This window comes from Homo sapiens, chromosome 3, assembly GCF_000001405.40.
Source record: "Homo sapiens chromosome 3, GRCh38.p14 Primary Assembly".
In the NCBI taxonomy this organism is placed as follows: domain Eukaryota; kingdom Metazoa; phylum Chordata; class Mammalia; order Primates; family Hominidae; genus Homo; species Homo sapiens.
In genome coordinates this window covers 113,245,763-113,269,419 of record NC_000003.12, presented here as the reverse complement: position 1 = coordinate 113,269,419, position 23,657 = coordinate 113,245,763, and the positions used below count along the sequence as shown (strand labels likewise).

Here is a 23,657-nt window from a genome sequence, read left to right as displayed (position 1 = left end):
TGTGGAGTCAGGTCAAGTAAGGTCTACTTGGCCTTGAGTATGGGGTCAGTTGTGAAAAGAAGCTGTCTTTGACTTCGGGGACAACCCCTTCCCCTCTGGCATTCTGTGGACCAAGTCTTGGCTTCCCTAGACCTGCTGCCGTGTCTGTCCACTGTGGCTTGAGCATGGAGCTGTGACAGCTGAGATAACTGCATTTACTATGCAAACGGGGAGAGGGAAAAATGAAGTCCACTATAAAGATTGCTCTGCTGCATGGGGAAGAGCTCCACCTCCTGCCAAGGAACCCTGGGGCTCCATGAATGGGCTTATTAGGCAGCCTTCCTGTGTGTGCCTGGAGGCACAGAGCTTCCCCAGGCAGCATGCAGAACCATGTGCTGAGAGCCTGGATGGAACAGCAGCATCTCAGTAATATCTTCTGGAGCCTGAAAGGATAAAGAAATTCCTCATGCTAAGACAGAGGACTTCCATAATGGAAGCCACCTGCTTTGGGACCCTACAGGACCAAATATCAAGAAAGAACACATGACCAAGCATGGTGGCTCAAGCCTGTAATTTCAGCCAAAGCGGGAAGATTGCTTGAGCTCAGGAGTTCTAGACCAGCCTGGGCAACATAGCAAGACTGTCTCTGTAACAAATAAAATTAAAGTTAGCCAAGCATGGTGGCGTGTGCCTGTAGTCCTAGCTACTCAGATGGTTGAGGAAGGAGGATCTCTTGAGCCTTGGTGATGGAGGCTGCAGTGAGCTCTGATTGTGCCACTGCACTCCAGCTTGGGTGACAGAACAAGATCCTGTCTCTTAAAAGGAAAAAAAGGGGAGGAGGACAGCTGGCTAGCATGAGGACAGGGCTGCTGGCATGTTGAGGGGGGTTTGGGAGACAGCAGCAGCTGCCCTAGCTTTGTTGAGCAGCGAGCGGTTGGAGGAGGCCAGCTTCCCTTCTGGCCTCAGCCTTGGCCTCTGGGCTCCTGCCCACTCACCTCTGGAGGCCTCCAGCCACTCTTGTTTGACGCTGTACCGGACCTGGGCTTTGGGGTGGCTCTCAGGCAGGTGGCAGGCAATGACTGCTGTGTTTCCCTCATCCACTTCAATCACGTGCTGCACATCTAACTTGAAGTCCTGGAGATCTGTGAAGAGAAGGGAAGGTGCTGGTTGGAGGACAGCAGAGCAAAAGTGTGACATTTCAGGGTGGGCTTGTGCCTTGGTGTTGTCAGTCATGACAAAGCTCACACCTAGGGGGATATCAGGGGATCCTCCGAGTTCTTCCTCCAGCCCCTTGTTGTCTACAGGAGTTTGTAAGAATGTGGGGCCCTCATCACTGATGGGGTTCACTTTGTATATACAAGCTGGGGAAAGGTGCAGAGAGAATCCCATCAAGGGGTGCCTCTGGCTCAGACCATCTGTTACACTGAGATGTGGGGGCAAGTTGGCTCTGCTTACACCCCAGAAATGGGGGGGGGTCAAAGTACAAATGTCCTAGCAGAGCTGTCAGCAGGCTCAACTAATGGAGATGGAAGGGAACGATACAAGAGAATGCTCATGTCTTTTCTCCAAGTTGATTGAGAACAGCCTTCGGAGGCTGAGGCAGGAGAATGGCATGAACCCAGGAGGCAGAGCTTGCAGTGAGCCGAGATCGCGCCACTGCACGCTGGCCTGGGCGAAAAGAGCGAGACTATGTCTCAAAAAAAAAGAACAGCCTTCCCAGGTTCTCCTTAGGCATCCACGATGACAAGTAACAGGCCTGAGATTCCACTTGGTTGCCGGCCATGGTTATAACCAGAAGGCTGATTCTTGCTGCTCAGGAGCCACACCCCACTTCACGGAGGATCCTTCCTTGGGGCTGGGGGCAGGACTCTGGATACCCTAAGGGTTTTCTAAGACAAAGAGGAATCTGCCAGGACAACAGGCAGCACCCTAGGGTGGCTTAATGGCAGTGGACTATGGAGGAGCCAGGGTCCTAACATGAGACTGTGGTCTCTGGCAGCCCCATAGCCATCTCTCCTGGCTTGGCACCATGGGATCTAAACTGGGAGAGCATGGAGATTCATCTAGAATAAAAGCAGAATGTTTCCCAAACAATGCAAGAGTCCAAACAACAAATCTCTCTTTGTATGAGACAAATCACTCATGTTGCTGAGTAAAACAGGGACCACTTGCACAACAAAACTGCATGCATTCCAAGCTGGAAATCTGGTTTTCAGGATTATAGCTGAATTTAAGAGGAGAAATAAAACTAATGGAGTATAAGACAGATGGAAATATTTTACCCAGACACTCTCTTCTTAAAGGTACTCAGAAAGCCCTGAAGGCACCTTCTCCGAATACTGGCCACACCAAATTCTGCTCAGCTCCCGGGACTGACAGCATTGGGACTGACTGCAATTTCACTGCAAGACTGCACCTGCCTCTGCTGTTGTTTCCAGTGGAGACCCAGAGAGGGCTGGAATCAGGTTTCTCACAGAAGACAAGAGATAATGACCAAAAACAAACTGGTGTCACCCTAGGAGTGCCTGGTGATTAAGGTACTCAGTGAGGTCAGGAGGCTTCCCACGTAATGGAACTTCCCAGCAACTCTTAGTCAATTCAAGCCAACACAGGGGAGGAAGCCCTGTTGTTTCTGTGAAAGGATTGATGTCCCTTTGATTACAATATTAGACTATGAACTCTTTAGGGGCGTGGACCGAGTTTTGTTCCTGTCTGTGTCCCCTGAACCTAACCCAGGTCCTGGCCCAAGTACACACTTGGCAAGTGTTGAATGAATAAATGAATGAATGTTAATGAATGAACGAATGAATATCTTGGAAGCTGAGCCCCACGAGTTAGGTACAAGATGCCCATTATGCTGCCTAGAAACTCATAGTTGAACTCATAAATTCATAGTTGAAGTTGGTCTACATTTTGAACAAACAGACAAGAGCCTAGCATAACAAATGTTCTGTGAACATTATATCTAAGTGTGGCCAATGGAAGCTATTTTGCAAATACAATGTTTCTTGAGACGTTATGTGGGATCTGAAGAAAGAAGTGAAATGGGTCTAATAAATGTGCTGTAAGAAATACATGCTATTCAAGGAGTGATGTGTTAAAAACAGTGACAGGATGGATATTCCATTCTCCATGATGTGCTTATTTCACACTGCATGCCTGTATCAAAACATCTCATGTACCTGATAAATATACACACATACTATGTACCCACACACACACACAAAACTTAACAAAAAACAGAGATTGGCTGTCTGATTCCTTTCTATTGCCCCATTTCACTTTCCAGGCTGAACAAGCATGATGCCTGCGGGTCAAGGCGAGATCTCTCATAGATTCCTTCCTGTGGGTAAGTGTAGGGCCTCCTGGGCTTTTAAATAATGATTTCAAAATTATTTAATGTTTTGTGTGTGATATCTGAGCCTAACTAAACGATAAATTCCTGGTGAGAAGCCTATTAATTTTTCACTCTTCACCCCAACCCCAAGTTCTATTGCATAGTACTGAGGATACAGCAAATGCTTTCTAAATCCTTGCTAAATAAATACAGTTTGGAAGGCTGAGCCCAAGGCCAGCTTGATGGGTGTGCAACCTGCCTCTGCACTTGATGGGGTAACACCCAGTTTAATGCTCTGCTTTCATCATCTGAAAATTCTTAATAATGCTTCAACAAGGGACCCTACATTTTCATTTTGCATTTGGTCCCACAAATTATTTAGCCCAGTCCTGGCTGAGCCTCTCAGCCAAGATAGCTAATGAGTTTTCTCTCAGAGAAGAGGAAGGTTTGGACTATGGGAAAGGAATTGCTTGAGCTCAACATGTTCTAGCTAAACATCGGTAACTTTGTTTTCTGAAAGCAATTCACTTAAAAAATGCAAAGGCCTTAATCCTCCTTCAGGCCAGTGCGCCCTGTACCTGCCAAGTCAGGAGGCTCCCCACAAAGCGAGCTGTGAATGATTGTGAGCTGTGAGTGATTGTGAGCTCAGGGGCATCTGGAAAATTCCTCAGGCGCTGTGAAGCACTCTCCTCCATGGTCGAATAAGTCCCAAACTACTCCACCAAGAGGTTTCTTTTTTTTTTTTCCTCCTCCTTTTCTTCACCTCATTCCAAGGAAATTTGCCTTAAGCAAAGAATATACTTAAAGCTAGCAGATCATTTTGCAAGAAAGATGTAAGGAACTGAAAGGAGTTTGGCACCAGGATGCCATCTCCATCTTCATGGCCCCAGGCTCCTGCCCATTGTAATTGAGGGCTTATCCAGGCACGGAGGGAGCATGCACTCTGCCAGGCACCCACCTCAGCAACCCAGTGGTAGAAAACACTGTCTCTTTTAATCCCCTCTTGGCTCCTGCTGCACCCTCTGACAGCTGCTCAGTTGGAGACAGAAGGCTGTGCAGTGGGGGAGCATGAAGCTGGGCACTGGTCAGCCATGCGGCCAGACAGCCCCTCTGTTCTGATGCCAACATGTGCACAACAGCCTGTGCAGGCAGGACCGAGGGCACCCCAGCTGGACATCCAGCTCCCCACAAGGGGCGACTGGCAGGCGAGCCTTCCTGGCTTCAAAACAAATAAGCAGCAGTTCGGTCCTTGGCCCTGTCCCTCCTACCCTCTATCCCCCCTCCCCCCGTGCCTCCTAAGCTTAAGCCTTAGCTTAAACACTCCCAATTTGGCTGCTTGAGTAAAACTTGAGTTTCACTAAGGGATCAAAGGCAGAATAATGAAGTGATGAATGATCTGAAAATCAGAGGACCCCTTTCTCTAGTGTTTTTGGACAGGAAGGGGGCCAGGGAGGGGTGGGGAGTTCATGATCAATAAGAGCCTAACCAGCCATCAGATGGGGCAGATGCAGAGAGGAGCTCTAGCTGGCGCATATGAAGGAAACCAGCCTGTTCCCAGGCCCCTTTGTCTGCAAAGCTGGTTTCCTGGCCGAGTCCCTAGGCTGCTCAGTGTGCTTCACTGGAAATAAGGGACAGGCCCTTCAATTACAAATAGGGTTAGCAGGCCTCCGCTGCAGAAAGATGGATCAGGTTTCATGGGGAAATGGTTTGACAGGACACCTGCCCTTGCCTGTTGGCTGGTGTGTTTGAGAAATCCATTAGAGGAATGTTTTTGCAGCTTTAATCCTCTTACCTTCCCTCCCCTCGCACCCTTCTTTTGCATCCTCTCTTTGTGCATTTTCCAGCTACTTCATTAACTTGTCCGCATTAATCAAACGCTAGTAGACCCACTTTTGTTTCTCAGCTCCCAACAGGTCAGAAGTCCTGGTCTTTGGGGCCATCTCTGAGTTTACTGACCTTATTTACTTGTCACAGAGCTTTGTGATTTCTGAGAAAGCCCATGATATTTTAGGCTCCATATAGAACCCGGCCCAGTTCCTTCCTTCTGGGAGCTCAGTTTCCAAAGGGAATACGTACACTCTGATACATCACTTCTGTAGGCTGTCTGAACACAGAGGCTACAGGGATGTGTTCAGACACACATCATGTGATGTACTCTGTGTTCTCTTCACATTCAAAGGGCACATCAGGCACAGACCCTTTTGGCTATGGGAAAAACAGAAAGCAAATTAGACTGTCAAAGGTACATAGATGTGGCTGCCATCAGCAGATCACATGTGAAACCGCAAATTGGCACATTTTATCTTGAATGTCTCTTGAATTTCTTTCTCACCACCTTCTAGTCTCTATCTTTCCTTTATTAATAAAAGGCTTGGCAGAGCTATGAATTAAATTACAGTATTTGGTGTATGTTCATGCATTCTCATAACACAAATTGTCAAATATTAATTGTAAGCTTATCCCCCAATTTTCATGGACTTTACGTGTCCAACTACAGGATGTGTTGGGTCTCAGTTAAATGCCCCAGGTGTAATCCATAAACCTATCAATCACTTCCAAGGGAGTTATTCATTCAATCTTCTCCTGCATTCTCCTTTAAGCTGCAAATTGAAGTTCGATTCTGTTTGAAGTAAGAAGAGAAGTAAGACGCCACCATCCGCTGGATGCTTCATGGAGTTACCAATATCCCCATATCCATGAGCTCTGCTGAATGCTTAAAGAAACTTTGGCCTTTTACCCCTGCAGGTACTTCTCATGCACAGTCCTGTCCTACCCTCCTGCCTGTTCCTGGGGATCACAGGACAAGCCTGCATTCCTCTACAGAGGTCTGGATGGGATCCATTAGGTCACGGGGCACCGCATGGGGCTCATGTGGCAATGCTGCCAGGATGACTTAGCAGCCTCAGGGCCACTGGCAGGTTTCTGGACTGATGGATAATTCTATTCCCCAACTGTCACAACCTCCAAGCCTCAACTTGTCCCTGTGGCAGCTTGCTGCATCTGTGGCTAATGCTACAAGGCACAAAGGATTCTGCTCTACTGGAGCACTACTCAGTGGCATGCTGATCCTTTGGTCCTTCCCTGCACCTCAGTCCCTTTTTGAGAGACACCCGAGGTGCAGGAGAAGTAAAGTCACTAAGAGTTTTCTCTGGTTGAGCTTCTGGCTCATGGCTATCAGACAGACTTGGCTGTAGAGTCTGAGAAGACAAAGGGTCCCTGACACTCCTCACTATGTTGCCCCTGGACAATATGGGGGCTCTCCTGTGTCCCAAACTGCTTCATTGATGGACAAAAAGTCCCAACACAATTCTCAACCCCCAAGTCACTTGAGGGACCATAGCTTGGCATGACCCCAAGGTTATTCCTCTGAAATAAAATGATCTGCAAGTGAAACGCCATGGCAGTTTTCTGCTGAGGATGTGGGACAACTACAGAAACAGAAGGCTGGAGCCTCATTGTGCTCTCATGAGGTCAGAAAGCCTGGCACCTGGTGAGTGGTTGGGGTTTACTGTGGGCTGGGCAGGCATCTCAGAAGCCATGCATTTGGGGTAGTGACTAAGTATTTTAGCCCTGGCACATAGACCCCCTGCAGCCCACAAAGCGGGACAAAACCAGCATTTGGTAAAATACCATCCCTCTGGTCATCATTGAGTCATTCATTTAGCAAGCCAGGTGCTGCAGAATTGTCTATTATGCCAAGCACTGCAGAAAATACAAAGAAGAAAAGACATAGCTCCTAACCACAGGGAGCTTTCAATCACATAGACAAGGCAGGACACAATAATTCACAAGCGTGGTGTTCTCCAGCGTAGTCCTCACCACCTCCACCAGCACTCCAGCCTAAGTCAACACTGTAATCTACAGAGACACTTAGAAACACAGTTGGCAGAGTGAGTACTGCTCCTCCCTTTGCAGGCAGGGAGACTGGATAAATATGTTTGCTGTCTTTGGGATTTTTTTCTGCCTGTCCAATTGCACAAATAATTTTGGCTCCCAAGCTCTCTCCTGACAACCATGGAAACATGACATGAAATTTCTCAAACACACTTTCTGATGAAAGCAAGGCATGCTCTTTTTTATTTAAAGAAAACAGTTTCCATGGGGAGGAAGAAGAAGAATTAAAAAAAAAAACAAACCTTTGTAGATGCCAAGCACATTAGTTGTTAAATCTTGTTTCTTTCTTTTCCTTTCAGTTGAGGTGGGATTTACACCCAGATTTGAGCAGTGGAAGAAAGCTGGGATTGGGGAAGAGATGAAAGAGACTGGGGGATGAGGGCTGAAAATCAAAGTCAAGACAGGAGAGAGAAATCTGGGGGTGGGCAGGAGGGGAAAGCAGGCCAGAAGGGAGGAGTGGGAGAGGAAGAAGGAGAGAGACTAAAAAGAACCTATTTTGCAATGTCATTAAATGATTTGCAATGAATTGGCCTGAGGCTTCAGGAATTTCTTGGCTTGAACCAATTAAAAATACTTCATTTTTAAAAAAGACATAAGAGAACGAGAAATGCGATTAATCCTCAAAGACAAGTCAAGGATGGAGCCATGTCTCCACTGGGTCTGGCAGCCAGATGAACACAGATGTCTGGTCTGTAGACCATCTCATCTACCCGACTTCAGGGCCGCTCTGAGGTAGGGCTGGTTAGCAGAACTGGGGAGTTTCTTTTGGACTAGATGAAGGAATGAAATAGTTAGAAAAAAAATATACTGAAGAAAGAGCAGAAGGAAAAAAAGATTTACTTGCCAGCAACCCACATCACACATATTTCTCTGATCAACCAAATACAAACTATAAACTTAGCAGTGGGAAAATTAATGTGAGTCCTGGTGGTCTGGACTCATCAGAGCCAGAGCTGGATCCTGGCACAGGCTTTGGAAGGGCTGGCAGCCTGTGCAAGAAGAGAGGGAGGAGAGAAAGCGGAGGCTGAGGAGCTGAGAGAAAGAATGGGGATGAGCACTTTGGTGTGGCTGTGATGAACAGAACTCCAGGTGGGAGAGACGGGGCAGTGGGGCCTGCTTTTTCTTCCCACACACCTGGAAACTGCATACTCCCATCAGCCTCGGTGGCACCAATCCCATCCACCCACTCCAAAATGCCCCTTGAGGTATATGTGAGGACAGTGGTCCCCAACCTTTTTGGCATCAGGGACGGGTTTCATGGAAGACAATTTTTCCATGGACCATGGGTGGGGAGACTGGGGGGGATGGTTTTGGGATAAAACTGTTCCACCTCAAATCAATAGACATTAGTTAGATTCTCATAAGGGGCGCACAACCTCCTAAATCCCTCGCATGCACAGTTCACAGTAGGGTTCACCCTCTAATGGTGAACCCTATTCTATTGAATGGTGAAAACCTGTTCTGTTCTGTTCTGTTCTGTTCTGTTCTTTCTGTTCTGTTCTGTTCTGTTCTGTTCTGTTCTGTTCTGTTCTGTTCTGTTCTATTCTATTCTAATAGAATCTAATGCCACTGCTGATCTGACAGGAGGTGGTGTTCAGATGGTAATGCTTGCTGGTCCACCGCTCACCTCCTGCTGTGTGACCCTGTTCCTAACAGGCCATGCACCACCATGGAACGGTACTGGTCTGCTGCCTGGGGGTTGGGGACCCCTGTGTTAGGTCATGGAGCCAAATTCACTGGCATCTCCCTGAGGTTCCAGAATTTCCTCCAAACATCTCAGTTTCTTTCCAATGTTGTTTTATGCTTCTGACATTCATCAATTTTTCTAAGTCTTTCTTGAATCCATTTGTATCTTCAACCTCTTTGTATCCTGAGTCCCTGCTTTATCCTTTCTTATATACTTCTTGAAAACTTTAAATATATCAGAATTTGAAAAGGAAATTCAGAAATTGTTAATTTACCCTGTGTATGCCCTTTTTCATCTTCTAGACCTCAAACATGTTTTATCTGGGAGTCTTCCTCTTTCATGACATTCACAGAAGGCCTATGGTGTGCCAGGCCCCGTGGACAGCACTGTGGACACAGATGCATAATAACAGTTCCTACCCTCCAGATAGAGAGGCAAGAAAGGGCTGTGGAAGCAAACCCAAGGTACTAAGGAAGCCGGGAAGAGAACCTACTCTAGACTTGGAAGTTGAAGGGGTCAAGAAACATTCCTAGAGAAGATACCTGAGTCTTGAAAACTGAGAAGGAATTAGTAACCCAACAGAGGTGGGAACTTTCTGAGGACGGAGATGGAGAGGAAGATGCTGCCAGCTGAGGGACCACCATTCTGAAAGCTAGGAGAAAGTGCGCGATGGAAAGTGGGCCTGAGGGAAAGGCTGTAAGCACCTCACTATTAATCACAATTCTCCCTATAGGAAAATAAATGCTGTTTCTACTTCAGCAAGTTTTTTTCCTTTTGTTTACATTTTTTCTCATTATGAAGTGATCATCCTTTAATTTGGATGTGAACACTACGTCTATTTGCAGGACAGACTCACTGTTCTATAGAGCTCAAGATTATTACCAGACTCCAAAAATGGCTGAAAGTCTAAAAACAAAGTCAAAGTAGAAATTGCTCAACTTTTCCACACACACACGAGAAACAGGGGATGCTGAGGTGTGAAGCTGTTTTTAAAAAATGAGGGAACCAAGGACTCATTTGCTCTCTTGGTTTTCTTTTTTGTTCTAAAGAAAGCATCTTGCACCATGCTCCTTAAAGGAGTCCAGTGATTTCAAGCCGGCAAATCAATCTTTCCCTTGGCTTCTGGTGCAAAAGGCTCCTCAAACTGTGTTTTGGCTCACTGAATCAACATACTACACAGCCCTTCCCTTTTCTCTTAGCTTAGAAAATGAACCCAGTATTGTATTTAAGCATTTGGCTGTGAGTGCAAAGAATGAATTGAGGACAAGGGTGGAGTGGGTTAAGAGTCCTTAAGGGTGTCCTTGGTAGAAGATGCACTATGAACCTGAGGTCTGTTTGGTAAATAGTGACCTCTGATAAATATAGAATGGGACTCCTGGCTGTTTGGGGCAGACATTTGCTGCCAAGATGCTCTGAGCAGAACTTACACCACGGATCTGTCTGGGTACTTGCACCAGGGCTAATAGGACTAGTGTAGCCAATGCCATTTGAAGATTTCACCAGAATATCAGGGATAATTCTAGTGAGCTATTAATTTCTGCCTGCATCCAGTAGAAAACAGAAAGCGTTGATGTAACTTTGTCCTAAAGCTATAAGGTATTCCTTATTCATTTCCTATTAAGATGCTCAAGTTGCTCAGGCACCTTTTAGATCTCAGCCATCTTTCAATAATTTTCTTGCCCAAGTGTCAAAGTAAAATACACATAACTTATGGTATGGAACAACTAAATTTCAAGCTGGCTCTCCTTTTCCAACTCCATTCCCCTGTGTGGAGCTGTCTCTGTCTCTCCCAGCCAAAGCAGGCTCACACTCTGCCCCAGCTGCAAATCTCCTTCCCCTCCTGGGGCAGCTTAGGAAGCCACCTGTGTTTTCTTTCCCTACAACCCTTCTCACTGCCATCCCTTCATCCCAAAGCAAAAAGCTTGTACAGGATTCCCTGATGCCCAAGCCAACACATAAATGTTTTTCCAATTTGGAGCGAATGGCTCCTCCTGTTTTGTCAGGGAGTCACTGGCTAACTGAACCAGACGGGGGCGGAAGTGGGGAGTACTGGAAAAAACACTCTAAGTTTCTTTCTTAATCAGAAAATGTTCATACCCAAAGAGAAAAGAGATGAGAAACAGTTAAGAAATGGGGTGAGCGGGGAACAGGATGGAGAGAGAGAGACAATCACCTGGTGGCTAGATTAAGAATTCGATTGAGCTCACCATGGAAATATCTCACTATGGAAATAAAACTTTCTATGGCAGTATCGGTGCCATCCGAGAAACTGAACTGGGCCTAGGTCTGAATACACAATGTTAAGAGCTGAATTTGGTTTTTAAAGGTCTGAGAAAGGTATGTGAGGACTCAGAAATTAAAAATCAAGGTTGTCTTGTACACATTCTTCAAGGCTCAACTGCTGAGTCTTCCGCAATCCCCTGAAATGGAAATGAATCCTTGCTAGCCTCCGAGCTCCCATTAAAATCTGTTCACATTTCTGGCGGGCAACTCATGGGGCTGGCTTGCTTTATGACTAATGTGTTAACAAAGTCCACCTTCTCCATTAGACTGAGAGATGTTCAATGGCCAGGACCAGATCTTACTGTGCTCTGTTAGAAATTCTAAATGTTCCCAATTCTTAGGGCACCAACCTCCAAAACATCCAAATATAGGAGTCAGCACTGGAGAATGAGTGCTTTGCTGTTTTTCAAGTGGGACTCATGAATTTTGGTCTTGCCTTATTTAATAGAAGCCTTTAGAAATAGAATGCATTAAGTTGTAAGGTATTGAGGACAAAATTAAATTAAAGAGGTAGATTGTTAATTGTAGTAAGAAAATATATTCTGGGAAGAAAATTATAATGACTGTTGGAAATGAAAGATAAATTATTTTATTAATTGAGTTCTTGCTTGCTTGTTTCTTCTCTCATCCTCTCCACCCCTACACTTCACAGAGGAGTTGAGAAAAAAAAATCTTGAGAAAAAATCAAGACATAGGTTTTATATATATATTTAAAAATCAAGACTAGGGGAAAATTAGGAAAGGATAGTCTTAATAAGATAGCCCAAATTAAACCACAATTTTGCTCTGAGACACCTGTGGCCAAAGAGAATCCAAACAATATGCCTCTGCCAAGGTGAGAGGACTTCATGAAGCTGTTTCTGCAACCAGTGAATGCATCTCTGGTAGGGGCTGGGGCAACAGGGTCTCTGTGTCTGCATCTTCCAATGGTCAGCTCCACCCAAGGTTGAAATCCAAAGCATCCAGAGGTTTGAATGGAGCTCATGGCTCCATAAAGGTTAAGGAATAACCATTGTCCTGGCAGCGTGGAAACATCTCCGTCTAAAGGTGCCATTAATGATTCTGGGAGCTGGACTTAGGGAGAATCTAATTTCTTCACATTGTCTCCAAAGAGACATATTCCAAAAGAACTCCAGGCAGGTGGTGTATTTCAGGTGGACAGTAGGGGACTGTGATGGTTAATTTCATGTGTCAACTTTGCTAGACAATCTTTTACTTTGAGAAAATAATTACCCTCCCTAGTGGGGATAGGCCTCATTTGATCATTGAGGGTATTAATAGCAAAGACATGTTTTCCAGAGAAGAACACAACACAGAAAATATGCCTGAGTTTCCTGCTTTTACCCTAAGACTGCAATATCAATTCTTACCTGAATCTACAGCCTGCATGAGCTAACTCTTTAAAATAAATCTTTGTATAATATATAATTATACATATACAAAATTAAATATATTATACATATATATATACACACACACACACATATATGTATTATTGGTTCTGCTTCTCTGGAGAACCCTAATACAGAGATAAAGGAAGCTAGAAATATTTTAAGAAAGAAATCGCTACAATGGTCCTTAATGGACTATGGACTATTCTAGTTCACAGTCAGAACCTAGGTGACCTTAGTGAAGTGTGTGATGGGAATTAGCGGTTAGGGGAGCTGAGCAAAGAGACATAGCTTCTGTTTGTAAGATTCACCATGCTGAAGGCCAGGGTCAGCCCAGCCTGTCAGTGCAAAACAACAGCTGTCTGTATACGGCAGCAGTTGAGTGGGCAGCAGTGAACCCACAGGAGCATCAGTGAGCAGCTCTGCGGGCTACACTGACAATGCACCATGACACCGTGGCTGCTCCTGAAGGCGGCTGGGGTGGGAATCTGAGTTAGAGAGCACATGTATATAAGGAACTAAGAAAGTCACAGGAATGGGTTAGTTCTCTCTTTATAAGAAGCCAGCCCTCTATTGGTTCTGGTTATGACTGGAAGCTCTGCCACCCTCTGGACTGTCTTCCTAAGGGTCACTCCCAGAATGGAACTGGGCAGTACAGGGCTGGACACGGGCTTTAGAGCCTCCAGAAAGGAGACACTCCAGAAATGTTTGACAACCACATGGGCGAACAAATAAAGCCTGGGATTTCTAAAATGCTCTCAAATACTAATATTATACATTCTCCCATTTATCCTCAAAAAACCCATGAGACTGGTGATGTAATTACTGTGTTCATTTCACAGCTGTGGCAGTCAGTCTAAAGACCAAGTGATTTGCTCAAAGTCATGGAACACTTAAATGGCAGAGCTAAGGCTTAAACCCAGAATTTAAAAATTTTTTTTAGCTTCTTGTTTTTTCCATTATACCAGTTTGGCCCTTCATTTTATTCATGGGTTAAATTAAATTATGGTAACAAAGGGCCCCTGGTCACTTTGGACATTTTCTCAAAGTCAGAGATTCATGAGGTTGAGTGGCGAGGGGGACTCCTTCCTTTCTTGTCAGCCACCTTGCCTGCTGATCTCTGATGCCAGAGACAGGACCATTCAGGAGTATATGCCTGGCCTTGGCGCTAGGAGGCCTTAAGGAGCGGTGACCGATCTGTTCTCAATTATACCGGCTGCAGCTTAAGACTTCACATTAACTTGAGGACTAAAATTCCCAAGTTTAGAATTATAGGTAGCTACCTGGTTACCACCTGTTTTATTTCCAGCTACCAGTGGGACCTAGGGATGATGGGAGAATTGGGAGAATAAAATTATCAAAAAATCTTAAAAGTTAAAAATAAACAATTATTAATGGTTGACTGTTAGAGGTAAGGGATTGAGAACAGCTTTTCCACTGCCAGCTCTGATGAGTCGGTTGTGACTCCTTGCCATACTGTGTTGAGAACAGGCCTGAGGTGGAACTCAGGGTCCAGTAAGAAGGAGTGGAGTGCTCCCTGGCAGGGTCTGCTGTTGGTTCAGGAGCAGACTGGGAACAGCTGAGCTGTGTAGAGCGGTTGGCTGCCTGGTGTGAGGCTTGTGAAAAGGGAAAGGGAAGTGAAAGGAAGGAGTTCAAAGTTAAAAGCATTTCAAAAACCAAGAATTAGACAAGATGATCTGAAGCAGGGCATTGGCAGCAAGAAAGTTTTTCTTTTTTTTTTAAAGTTTAGGTTAAATAGGAAATAAAAAACTCTTCAGAGGACAGCGAGATGGGCACCTCCACAGAGCATGCAGCAGCCATTACCCACATGGCCAGGACAACCTGGGGTGGAGGGAGGGAGAGAGTGCAGGTGAGACTCTTCAGTTGATTTGACCTCTGGCTCCATTTTACCGAAAATCAAAAGATGATGTCACCTGGTCAGGGTGAAGTACAAGTGGACCCTCCAGCTTCCAACACTGGACCAGAAAATTATTCTGCTAGAGGCCTCCCCTCCACCCCTGAATCCTCAAGCCTGGTCCTAAGCCCCATGACCTATAGCCCCATGACCCTTCTAAAGGGTGGATGCAGGAGGTGGCATCTTGCCAGGTAGGCCAGACAGCAACTGCTTTGTGCGAGGATGAACATGGGACAGCGTGGAGAAGAGGCCAGAGGAAAAGGAAGCCTACCATGCTGAGTGTGTGTGGGTGTGCATGCGTGTGCACCGGCACGCCGCTGCCCAGTCTTTCCTCTAAATGCAGACCGTGCCTTCGGTAATCCCGTCTACCACTTGGCCTCCCTCATACATCAGCCAACCAGCAAAACACAGCCCCTATTCTGCTCAGGAATGTGCTTTCAGAAACTTAATCTACTGCTGCGTCTGGGCCAGATCCCCTAATGGCATTAACCCAAAGACAGCACCCCTTTCACTTGCCCCCACCCACCTTCCCGCCACCTCGTTGCTGCCTCCTCCAAGCTTTGCAGTTCCACTCCACCAACTCCCTCTTTTTCATGACACAGCCCCCCATGCCTGCTCTCTCAACTTTCAGCACTTCTTCTTTCTAGTCAGGCCCAAACATTTTGCCTTCTGATTCATGTCTAAATGACAAGCCAATAGTTCTTGGCTTTCAAATAAGCCCAGCTCGGCTTCTGCACAAGCCCCTTCTTCTCTTACTGTGCCTTCTTGGGTTGCAACCAAACACTTCCCTTTGTCCTTTCTGCCAACCACAGATCCCCTCAAGCACCAGAGGAAGAAGCAGCCAGGAATATTTTTAAAATGAAGGCTAATAAATTGTCTCTCCTCACACAGATACACCTTGAAGCAGAAGGAAGGCTCCAAGATAAATCTTCCACTCTCCAACTCTCCCTTTCCCAAACAATAAAAGGTTCAGCCTGGCTCCTAATTAGGCCAAATGAATGGTTATGGTCTTGAGTCTCTACAGACTTGTGCTGCCCATTTGCAGATGAAACCTCCCTGTTGAATGAGCAGTGCTGCTCTTTAAGGGCACACGCATTGCTAAAAGGCGCATCTCATTTGCAATAATCAACAACTGGAAAGGCCCTAATTGTCCAGCAACAGGAAAAGGGTAGAAGGTAGATGTTCTAGGACCACTAGTAATTACGATCATAAGTACTGGTGGGGGCTGGGAGGGTGGACTAACTAGGAAGGGGCATGAGGGGACATTGGGGATGGTTACATGGGTGGATGTACATGAAAAATGTTATCAGTTGTTCACTTAAGATTAGTACACTTTGTGTACTTTACTGTATGCATTTTATTTATTTGTTTTTTGGAGACAGGGTCTCCAAAAAAGCCACATCTCATTTGTAAGAGACTGGCTCACCCCAGCCTTGCCTCCTGGGCTCAAGCAGTCCTCCCGCCTCCGAGACAGCTAGCAATACAAGTGCACGCCACCACGCCTGGCTATTTTTTTAAAAAAAATTTTTGTTCCTAGGCTGGTCTCAAAATCCCAACCTCAAATGATCCTCCTGCTTCAGACTCCCAAAGTGCTGGGATTACAGGTGTAAGCCATATTGTAATAATTATCTCTGATCTCTATGTGCCAGACCTGGTATGCATTTTATACTCAATAAAAAAGTTAACATGGTCATATGGCCAATGGAGAATGCTTATCATACAACATCAAGAGAGAGAAAAGAACTTGTATATTTGTTGTATCATTACAACTTAAAAATATGAGCAGGGATAAAGACTGGAAGGGTATACTCCAAAATGATGGTGGTGGTTATATGAAGATAGCAGGCTTATGAGAGATTATTTTATATATATCCTAAACATTCTATAATGCAATTATAATGTGGAAATATCAAAGTGGAGGTGGGAACTGTACAATGATAGGAAACGTAGTTCTGACCTCAGCCCTTCTTGACGTGATGAGATGACCCCTCTGCACCCTCTACCTTCAACACCCAAGCCTCATAGCAGCCCCCGCCCAACAAGCACAGCTGGAAGGGAGGGCCCTCTAGCCACCCACGGCCTGCCTCCCTCCCTGAGCACTCACAGGCTGCTCCCCGAGGCCAGGCACTCAGATTCCATGGGTGACCCTTCTGCCACAAAGAGGAGTGGCTCCACTGTGAGGGGGGCTCCAAGATGCAGCCCAGTGTCAGCCTGGCTCCTCAGGGAGACAGCTGAGGACACACTCTGCCTTCCCTCTGAGAAAAGGGCAGGCCTTGCTTGACTGTCCCAAGAAAAGAGGAATCCTGGCAGCCTCCATTCCACTGACCCACAGAGTGAAGCTCCTCCAGGGATCTGGGGACTGGAGGGCACGTAGGGGCTTTCCTCCATTCTGTTACTGCTTCTCCATCCCTCCCTACTCTCCTCCCAGGACTCAAGCTTCACCCACCCCAAGGACCCCAGCTTTCTTGGATAGAGGGGCATTTCAAAAGTTCGCTGCCTTAGGTAAGCCCCATGATGTAGCACCGCCAACCTCCTGGAAGCACGTCATCCACAAGGGTGATGATGATGATGATGATGGTGACATGGATGCCCAAAGCAGGGCTTTCAGGGATAACGGGGTGCTGCTGAGTCATGAGGGAACAAGCCCTGGAAATCTTCTCAAAGTTTAAATCCACATACCATTAAAGTCTCAACAAGTTTCCCTATTTTCTACACCTCAGGCGCCAGGAAAGGGGCCAAATTGGAGGCAGTTCTTTAAGCTTCCTGGCCACAGGCTCAGCATATAAGAATGGCTGTCAGGGGTGCTCTCCAGCCTTCAGTGGTGTATTGAATCCATCAAGTCTCACGTGCCCATACATACAATGAGTAGAAAATCAGATAGTGTATGTGTTGCGCCTGGGACACAGCACACCAAGTGGCAGTCACATGCAAAGGTAGGACGTCTGTTTACTCACTTCCATCTAGCCTCATACAATGGGTCCTCATAAGGTAGAATAAGTATAATGGCAACTAGAAACACCTGTCTTGGTAAGGCTCCTCTTCCAGCTATGACTATGTCAAGTCACTTGGCCTTTACTTTGCTCTGTTGAATCTTTATAATACACCCTCAAGTAATTTTGTAAAAACTATGACTTTCACAAGCATAAAAGAAATAAGAGCGGTTATTAGGACCATCCGTCAGTGAGCACATGGAAATGGAATTTACCAGAATTATTCAGTTGGGAGGGACCTTAGAAGCCATTTGGCCCTTGGTTTCCACATGTTGGTCTGAGGACCTATGTTCTTTGTCACATAATAGGAAAAAATAGAGGTCAGAAATAACACAATTTCTATATCACAAATAGAATGTCTACAGACATAATGATTTTAATAAACTATCCTATACTGAGTGTAACAACATGAATAAAAGAATGGCAAAACCAGAAAAAAAAAAGGTAGTGTGAAGTCTTCTCTTGGCATTTTCCTTGGTCCAAACTGTCACCTCATCTCTTCCTTGTTTCTTTTCTCTGTATCCCTTTATCCCTTTGCCACACAGTTTCCTTTTCATTATGTTCTAATATTTATAATCCAGGCCTTCGGACTATGCTTGCCCCTCACAGAGAGACAGGAGGCCAAGTCTGGGCTGGGTGGGCTCTGTCCAGACTACACGTGGCCCTGCCCATGTCTCTTGGTGTCCTGTCTCTCCCTGCTCCGACTGTAACTGTGGTGAGAATGGAGGGAGGGGACTGGAAGGTGTGTGAGCAGTTGGGACAGTGCACCTACAGCCACAGGATGACCAAGTAGGAAGGCACGGCACGGCCCTGCTCTGGGGCCCACGGAACAGTTCTGCCATGTCAAGTTCTGCCATGCACTGACCAATTCCCCTCTCTGTAGACACTCACTCCAGATACAGCCTCTACTTGGAGTGAGGTTTTCCAAGGGCACAAGGGTCCCCCATCACTGGGCATTACTAGGCAGCTACTGTTCTGATTTGACATTTCTGCAGTTAAGGCCCATTTTATGCTAAGAGTAACAAGAGGCAGCATGAATGGTGGGGGCTTCAGGGTGGGAGAGATGAGGAGGGACCGCACCATGGCAGGGAGGCAAAGGAGCAGACTCACTGGCTAGTGTCACAGTGGCTGGCACGCTGGCCACAGCCCCCGCAGGCATCCGGGCCACACACTGGTACCGTCCCACAGTGTGGTTGTTAAGGGCAGTGATGACGAGGGTCCCGTGGGTGATGAGGACACCCAGAGCATCATCCGAGCCATTCAGCTCCTTTCCATTCAGGCGCCAGGTTACATTCATCCTTGGAGGTTCCACCACGCAGCCCAAGATCACAGTGCCTCCGGGCTTCTGGACGGTGGACGCAGGCTGGACGGTGACCTGAGGGACCTCGTCTGGAGGAAGAACAGGGATGCAGCAATGAACTGATGCCCCCAAGAAAACAACATCACGTTTTTAGAAGCACTGCACCCAGGAAGTCTTCCAGAAGTGGCCACCAGAGAAGCTGGTCTTTCTCCGACTCTACTGCTCTTGTCCATTTCCCAACCTGCCTTTGTTCCCAGAGAGTAGATGTGGAGTGAGAATGTATTGTAAAGGCAAGAGCTTGGGCTTTGCATTTGGACAGACCTGAGTCTCATCCCAGTGCCACTACTTCTGAGCCATGTGACTCTAGCCTTGTGAAGTGTCCGTTTCTTACCTGTAAAATGAAGCTAATATTGATTGTCTCACAAGGTTGTCATGAGTCTTGCAAACGATATGTGTAAATTGCCTGCCGTGACACTGTACAGTAAGTGCACAATAAAAAGCAGTTATTATTATTACTTCTCCTCCTCCTCCGGTATAGCTTTGAAATGAGTCAAATACCAAACTATAACCAATATGATGTTGTTGTGATCATGTCTCATCTTGTGTTCTTGTGTCCCTGAAGGCCAATGGGAATAAAGTGTTCTTTGAAATCCAGGTAAAGAAGGCCTTTTTAAAGAGTTATTGTAGAATGCGGAATGTTTCCATTTGACTGTAAGGGCAGGGAAAGGGAAGGAAAGCACTCACTCAAGTCAGCAAAGCAGCCTGCTGTGGCTAGGAGGAGGCAAGCCAGTGTGACCTCAGGCCTCATTCCTCTCCACGCCGTCATCGTCCCACGCAGCATGGTGTATCACAAAGGTCTGAAGCCAACGTCCCATAAGCCGCCAGGGTCACACAAAGAGATACTGCCGTCCCTGGCAACACTCTGTTGTAAGAGAGAAAGGGAGAGCAATGGCCATGATGAGGATGCCTGGGGTGCACCTGTGGTGGCCACAGGGCTTGGCTTTGTCCCTTGTTCCCTGTTGGCAACATTCAAACTAGAGACCCGGTCATGCTGCTGGAAGACCAAAGAACACTATAGTGCCATTTCTCATCTAAAAGAAGCTTCTTATAAGTTGCCCCCTAGGGCTCTTTCTCTAGCTAGAAGGTGATTTTATTGTAGTAAGAATGCTGGAGTCTTGCCCAGTGGATGGACAGCAACGAGGAGGAGGGGCAGAGGATACAGAGAGGCTGAGGCCTGCAGCCATATCCATGGCACAGGACAGTGACTATCTGGCACAGATGCTAGAACAGATGAGATTATTCTTACCATTTGCTTGCAAAAGGCCAGCTGGTCACAGCCATGTGCCCTGCCATGTGGTTAGTGCAGACTATTGTGGGACAGCAGTGCCGTGTGTGTGATGCATACAGAACGCCCTTGCAGGGAATGCTACTAAGTGAATGAATCCTAGCATCTCAGTGACTCATGAAATATTTCCTGCTCTGATTTTCCTCACCCCAGCTCTATGCCTAGATCCCTGAAAACTCCCTTTTATTCCTGCAATCACCCTGCTCTCCTCAGCTTGTCCATAACATCTACTCCCACAGGTACAAACACAGCCCAAAGTCATAAGCCAGCCAAGACCCCTCACTTTCTCAGGGCACAGAGCCTTGTTTTCGCTTCACTCACTAGCTCCCACTTCTCTCTGCTCCCGGTGCTAGAAAATTTTGAACTTTTCCGTCTCTACAAAATCTACACTCTTGATTACCCAAGTTGTATCTCCACCCAGAACAACATTGCTTTGAGGCTCAGACCACACTGCACCTCCAGCCATCTGACAACACACCTCAGCTATCAGTCACCCTCTCTGCCTAGAACAGTAGCATCTCCTGTTCCAGAAGGCACAATTTTTTATGCCTTTCTTAAGCTATGGTCCTTACAAGATTTATCAAAATCACATGGGCAAGTGTATATTCTAACACACACACACACTTCTGTCACAGCCAAAACAAAGATTTTGCTTCTGTGCTTTTCACTGATGGGTTTATAGAACATTAACAAATAAGGATGGGGTATCAACAGCCTTATTAGGCAGGGAGGCATTGAAATGAGTTCGGATAACGTTGAAGGCAACATTCCAGTGATCTGCACGGTGGATCATTCACCTGTGGCAATATTAATAGTATATTTCTAGGAGTGTGACATACATTCAAAATGTTAACTCTTCTAGATCAATCTACCTAACCAGAGACTCTCTCGAAGATTTACAGTCACCATTTAAAACTCAGAAGTAGTTAAGCTTCTCAACTGAGAGATGTGTTGTGCTGGCCAGTCCTAGAGTTCAGGCTGCCTGCAGAGACTGCCGTAAGAAACAGGAGACACCCGACTTGCCTGACACAGGGGACTGTTGCTGTGTTGGGAAGTGCTTCGGATTAACCTAAACCTTTCCCTTCCCCAAGACCTGTGGTCCTTTGGCTTTCTGCCTGGCTGCAGAGGGAGTGAGGAGGGCCATATCCACACTGCCCAATGAGCACCCCTCCAAACCAGATGGAGGACCCCAGCCCCTAGCATTCTGTGGATGCTCAGAATGTTTTCCAAGAGTTCTTTCCCGATGGTTTGTATTTTCTCCCTTTGCCTCATGACTTTGACATCAGAGGACTCACAAGACTTCAGCACTACTCTGGGATAGGACAAGGGGATGTTTTCTAAAAGGGATTTGAAAGAACATTTTTAAAGAAGTTTTTCAAAAGTTATTTCCTGGCAAGTTAAGATAATTTCCCGTTGGTGTAGAGAGAGAGCTTTTGCTCTTTTTCAAACAATCCAGTAAATCAAAGGGTCATATTATTGGCAAAGTAAAATTCATGAAAGCTGCAAAGGATGTGAGTACAATTGGGAGGGGCTGTGGTGGTGGAAAGCTGGGGGTGCCTGCCACTACTCCAGGAACTCGCTAAGCTCTTACACAATGTATTTCCTTTAACCTTCTCATCAACCCTGCAAGGTGACGACTATATCCCCATTTTACAGGAGAGAAAATTGAGTTCCAGAAGTGAAGTTGCCCAGGATCACATAACAGTAGGCCTGGATTGAAACCCAGTTTAGGCTGATTCCCAAACTCTGTGCTTTTTAATCACAATAGTAGCCTTTTTCCCTTTTTTTTTTTTTTTTTCCTATCAGGGCTCTGAAACCAGTGGGTGTTTAGCAAACAGAGTTGATGTAGAACAGTGGGACATTTTAACAGTGATTTCTAGAGGGAAAGTTTACACCAAAAAGTAAGCTTTTGGTTTCCTCTCAATTTTCCAGATACTTGCTTTAATTCTCTAATTTGCTTTTCCCCAATGAGATAAGGTATTTATATAGATCATTGCATGAGTTCCCAGTTATGGGATTTTAGGGAACTAGCTTGTTCAAGTCATGCCCCAATTTCCCCAGGCCCTTAAGGAAATTGAAAGCAAATGTTCCTTCCATGCCCCAAGAAGGGAAGGAAGGGAGGGAGGAAGAAAGGGAAGAAGGGAGGTAGGGAGACAGAAAATGAACATAAAGTAATGAAGGGCAAAAGAGGACAAGCAGACAAAGAGGAATGGAAGGGTTGTTTCTTATCTGAACACACGGTGGCTACGGAGGTGTTGGGTTGTAACAGCAACAAATATTTTACTGAGGAAATTCAGCCCAGACCCTCTCCTGCTTAACGAGGACCAGCCAAACAATTCCTGTTACTTCTGCACCCTCGGTAATTTATAAGGTTCAAAATGGAAACAGATCCTGTTGCTGCTGCCAGCCACCATCCTGCTTTCAAAAACAACAAGGAGAAAAGAATTGGGAGTGAGAGGGAGTGAGAAGGTGCAGGTATCCAGAGAGGGAGAAAGGAGTTAACCCATTAAGCCCCACAACACAGTTGTAAGAAGTACCATTTTAAGGACCCCAAAACAGGATGCGTGGGGTCTCATTCATGTAAAAGCAGAACTATGACCAAAAAATATGGCTATGTTTGGGGAAGGTTGGGGGGCTTGGTCACTGGATGATGATTATAAATAAATAAATAAAATTATAAATACATAAAATGATGCATTTTATTTAGTATCTGGGGAAAGTGAGTTACTTTTTGAACCAAGTTACCTAGTGAGTTTGGTTTAGAAAGATAATTCTAGAGATTTCAGTTACCTGAGAACTTTATTTTAATGTTTCGGGAAAAAAGGCAAGTAACGCTTAAGCTGGAGAACCTAATTGCAGTGTAACGTTGTCCCATTGTGAAATGAACAAAGTACAATTTCAAAGTTGGGTGAAGGCAACAGTAAGGCCTATTATTTTTCTTGGCAATGCAAAATATATCTAAGATCCTTCTTATTTTCCTTAGTCATTTTCTGAGACAAAGCAGAGAAATCAAGAAAAAAATATCAAAATCATTTGACACCTCATTGAGGCCTAGGTACTTGACAGTTTAAAGGGTTATTTGGACACACACAAAAAAAGAAAGAAAATGGGTCTGAAACATTTAACTGCTGACACACATGTTCTCCACTGAAATAATCTCTTCCAAACAGATGTTTTTGAAACTTTCCAAAAACAACAACAACAAAACACACTCTGGGGTTAAGACCAATCCTGAGAAACTGTAGCCTCAGAGTATTTATTTTTTGAGAAAATTACAAACAACTGAGAGTCGATCATCATCAGGAGGAGGCCAGCTCCACTTCCTCCCAAGAGGGCTGGCTGACTAACTGGATCAAGAGTGAGAACACCACAAAAAGCCGTCGGCTCATCCCCTGGACGCCCATGCCACGGCAGCTGTCAGAAAGGGAAGCTTCTATGATCTAAAACACAAAACATGCCCTTTGGATGTCCTAAGACCAATAACAAAGGTGAGCTGAATAGGAGAGAGTGTGATGTAGCAGATAGCACAAAGAGAC

The 23,657-nt window shown here is 45.7% G+C and overlaps 1 protein-coding gene and 1 long non-coding RNA gene across 43 annotated transcripts in view, besides 1 other annotated feature; one reads left to right on the top strand and one right to left on the bottom strand.

Annotated features, from left to right (window-relative positions):
- The window catches only part of BOC (BOC cell adhesion associated, oncogene regulated), a 76,534-nt gene that overhangs the window by 18,040 nt on the left and 34,837 nt on the right, over positions 1 to 23,657 (bottom strand). For 33 of the 42 annotated variants that reach the window (NR_170866.1, NM_001378075.1, NM_001378073.1 and 30 more), the window contains 3 exons: positions 19,521 to 19,698; positions 18,587 to 18,865; positions 975 to 1,121 (listed from right to left, as the gene is read on the bottom strand). Coding sequence is in view for 40 of the 42 variants with exons in the window: in NM_001378075.1 (NP_001365004.1) it covers positions 975 to 1,121; positions 18,587 to 18,865; positions 19,521 to 19,617 (523 nt within the window). In the remaining 2 variants the exon portion in view is untranslated. Of the gene's footprint in view, positions 1 to 974; positions 1,122 to 17,414; positions 18,866 to 19,520; positions 19,699 to 23,657 lie in introns of those variants that run through there. The other 9 variants (XM_047449188.1, XM_047449184.1, XM_047449186.1 and 6 more) reach the window with 3 other exon arrangements.
- Positions 1,121 to 9,655, top strand: LOC124909409 (uncharacterized). The gene is made up of 2 exons (XR_007096006.1): positions 1,121 to 3,328; positions 5,917 to 9,655. It is a non-coding gene; the product is annotated as an uncharacterized LOC124909409 (long non-coding RNA).
- Positions 3,752 to 4,370: an enhancer, noted in NCBI's record as "H3K27ac-H3K4me1 hESC enhancer chr3:112983897-112984515 (GRCh37/hg19 assembly coordinates)". NCBI's record gives its function as "activates a minimal SCP1, AML or CMV promoter by ChIP-STARR-seq in primed H9 embryonic stem cells {active_cell/tissue: H9 hESC(primed)}" and the evidence as "EXISTENCE:reporter gene assay evidence [ECO:0000049][PMID:30033119]".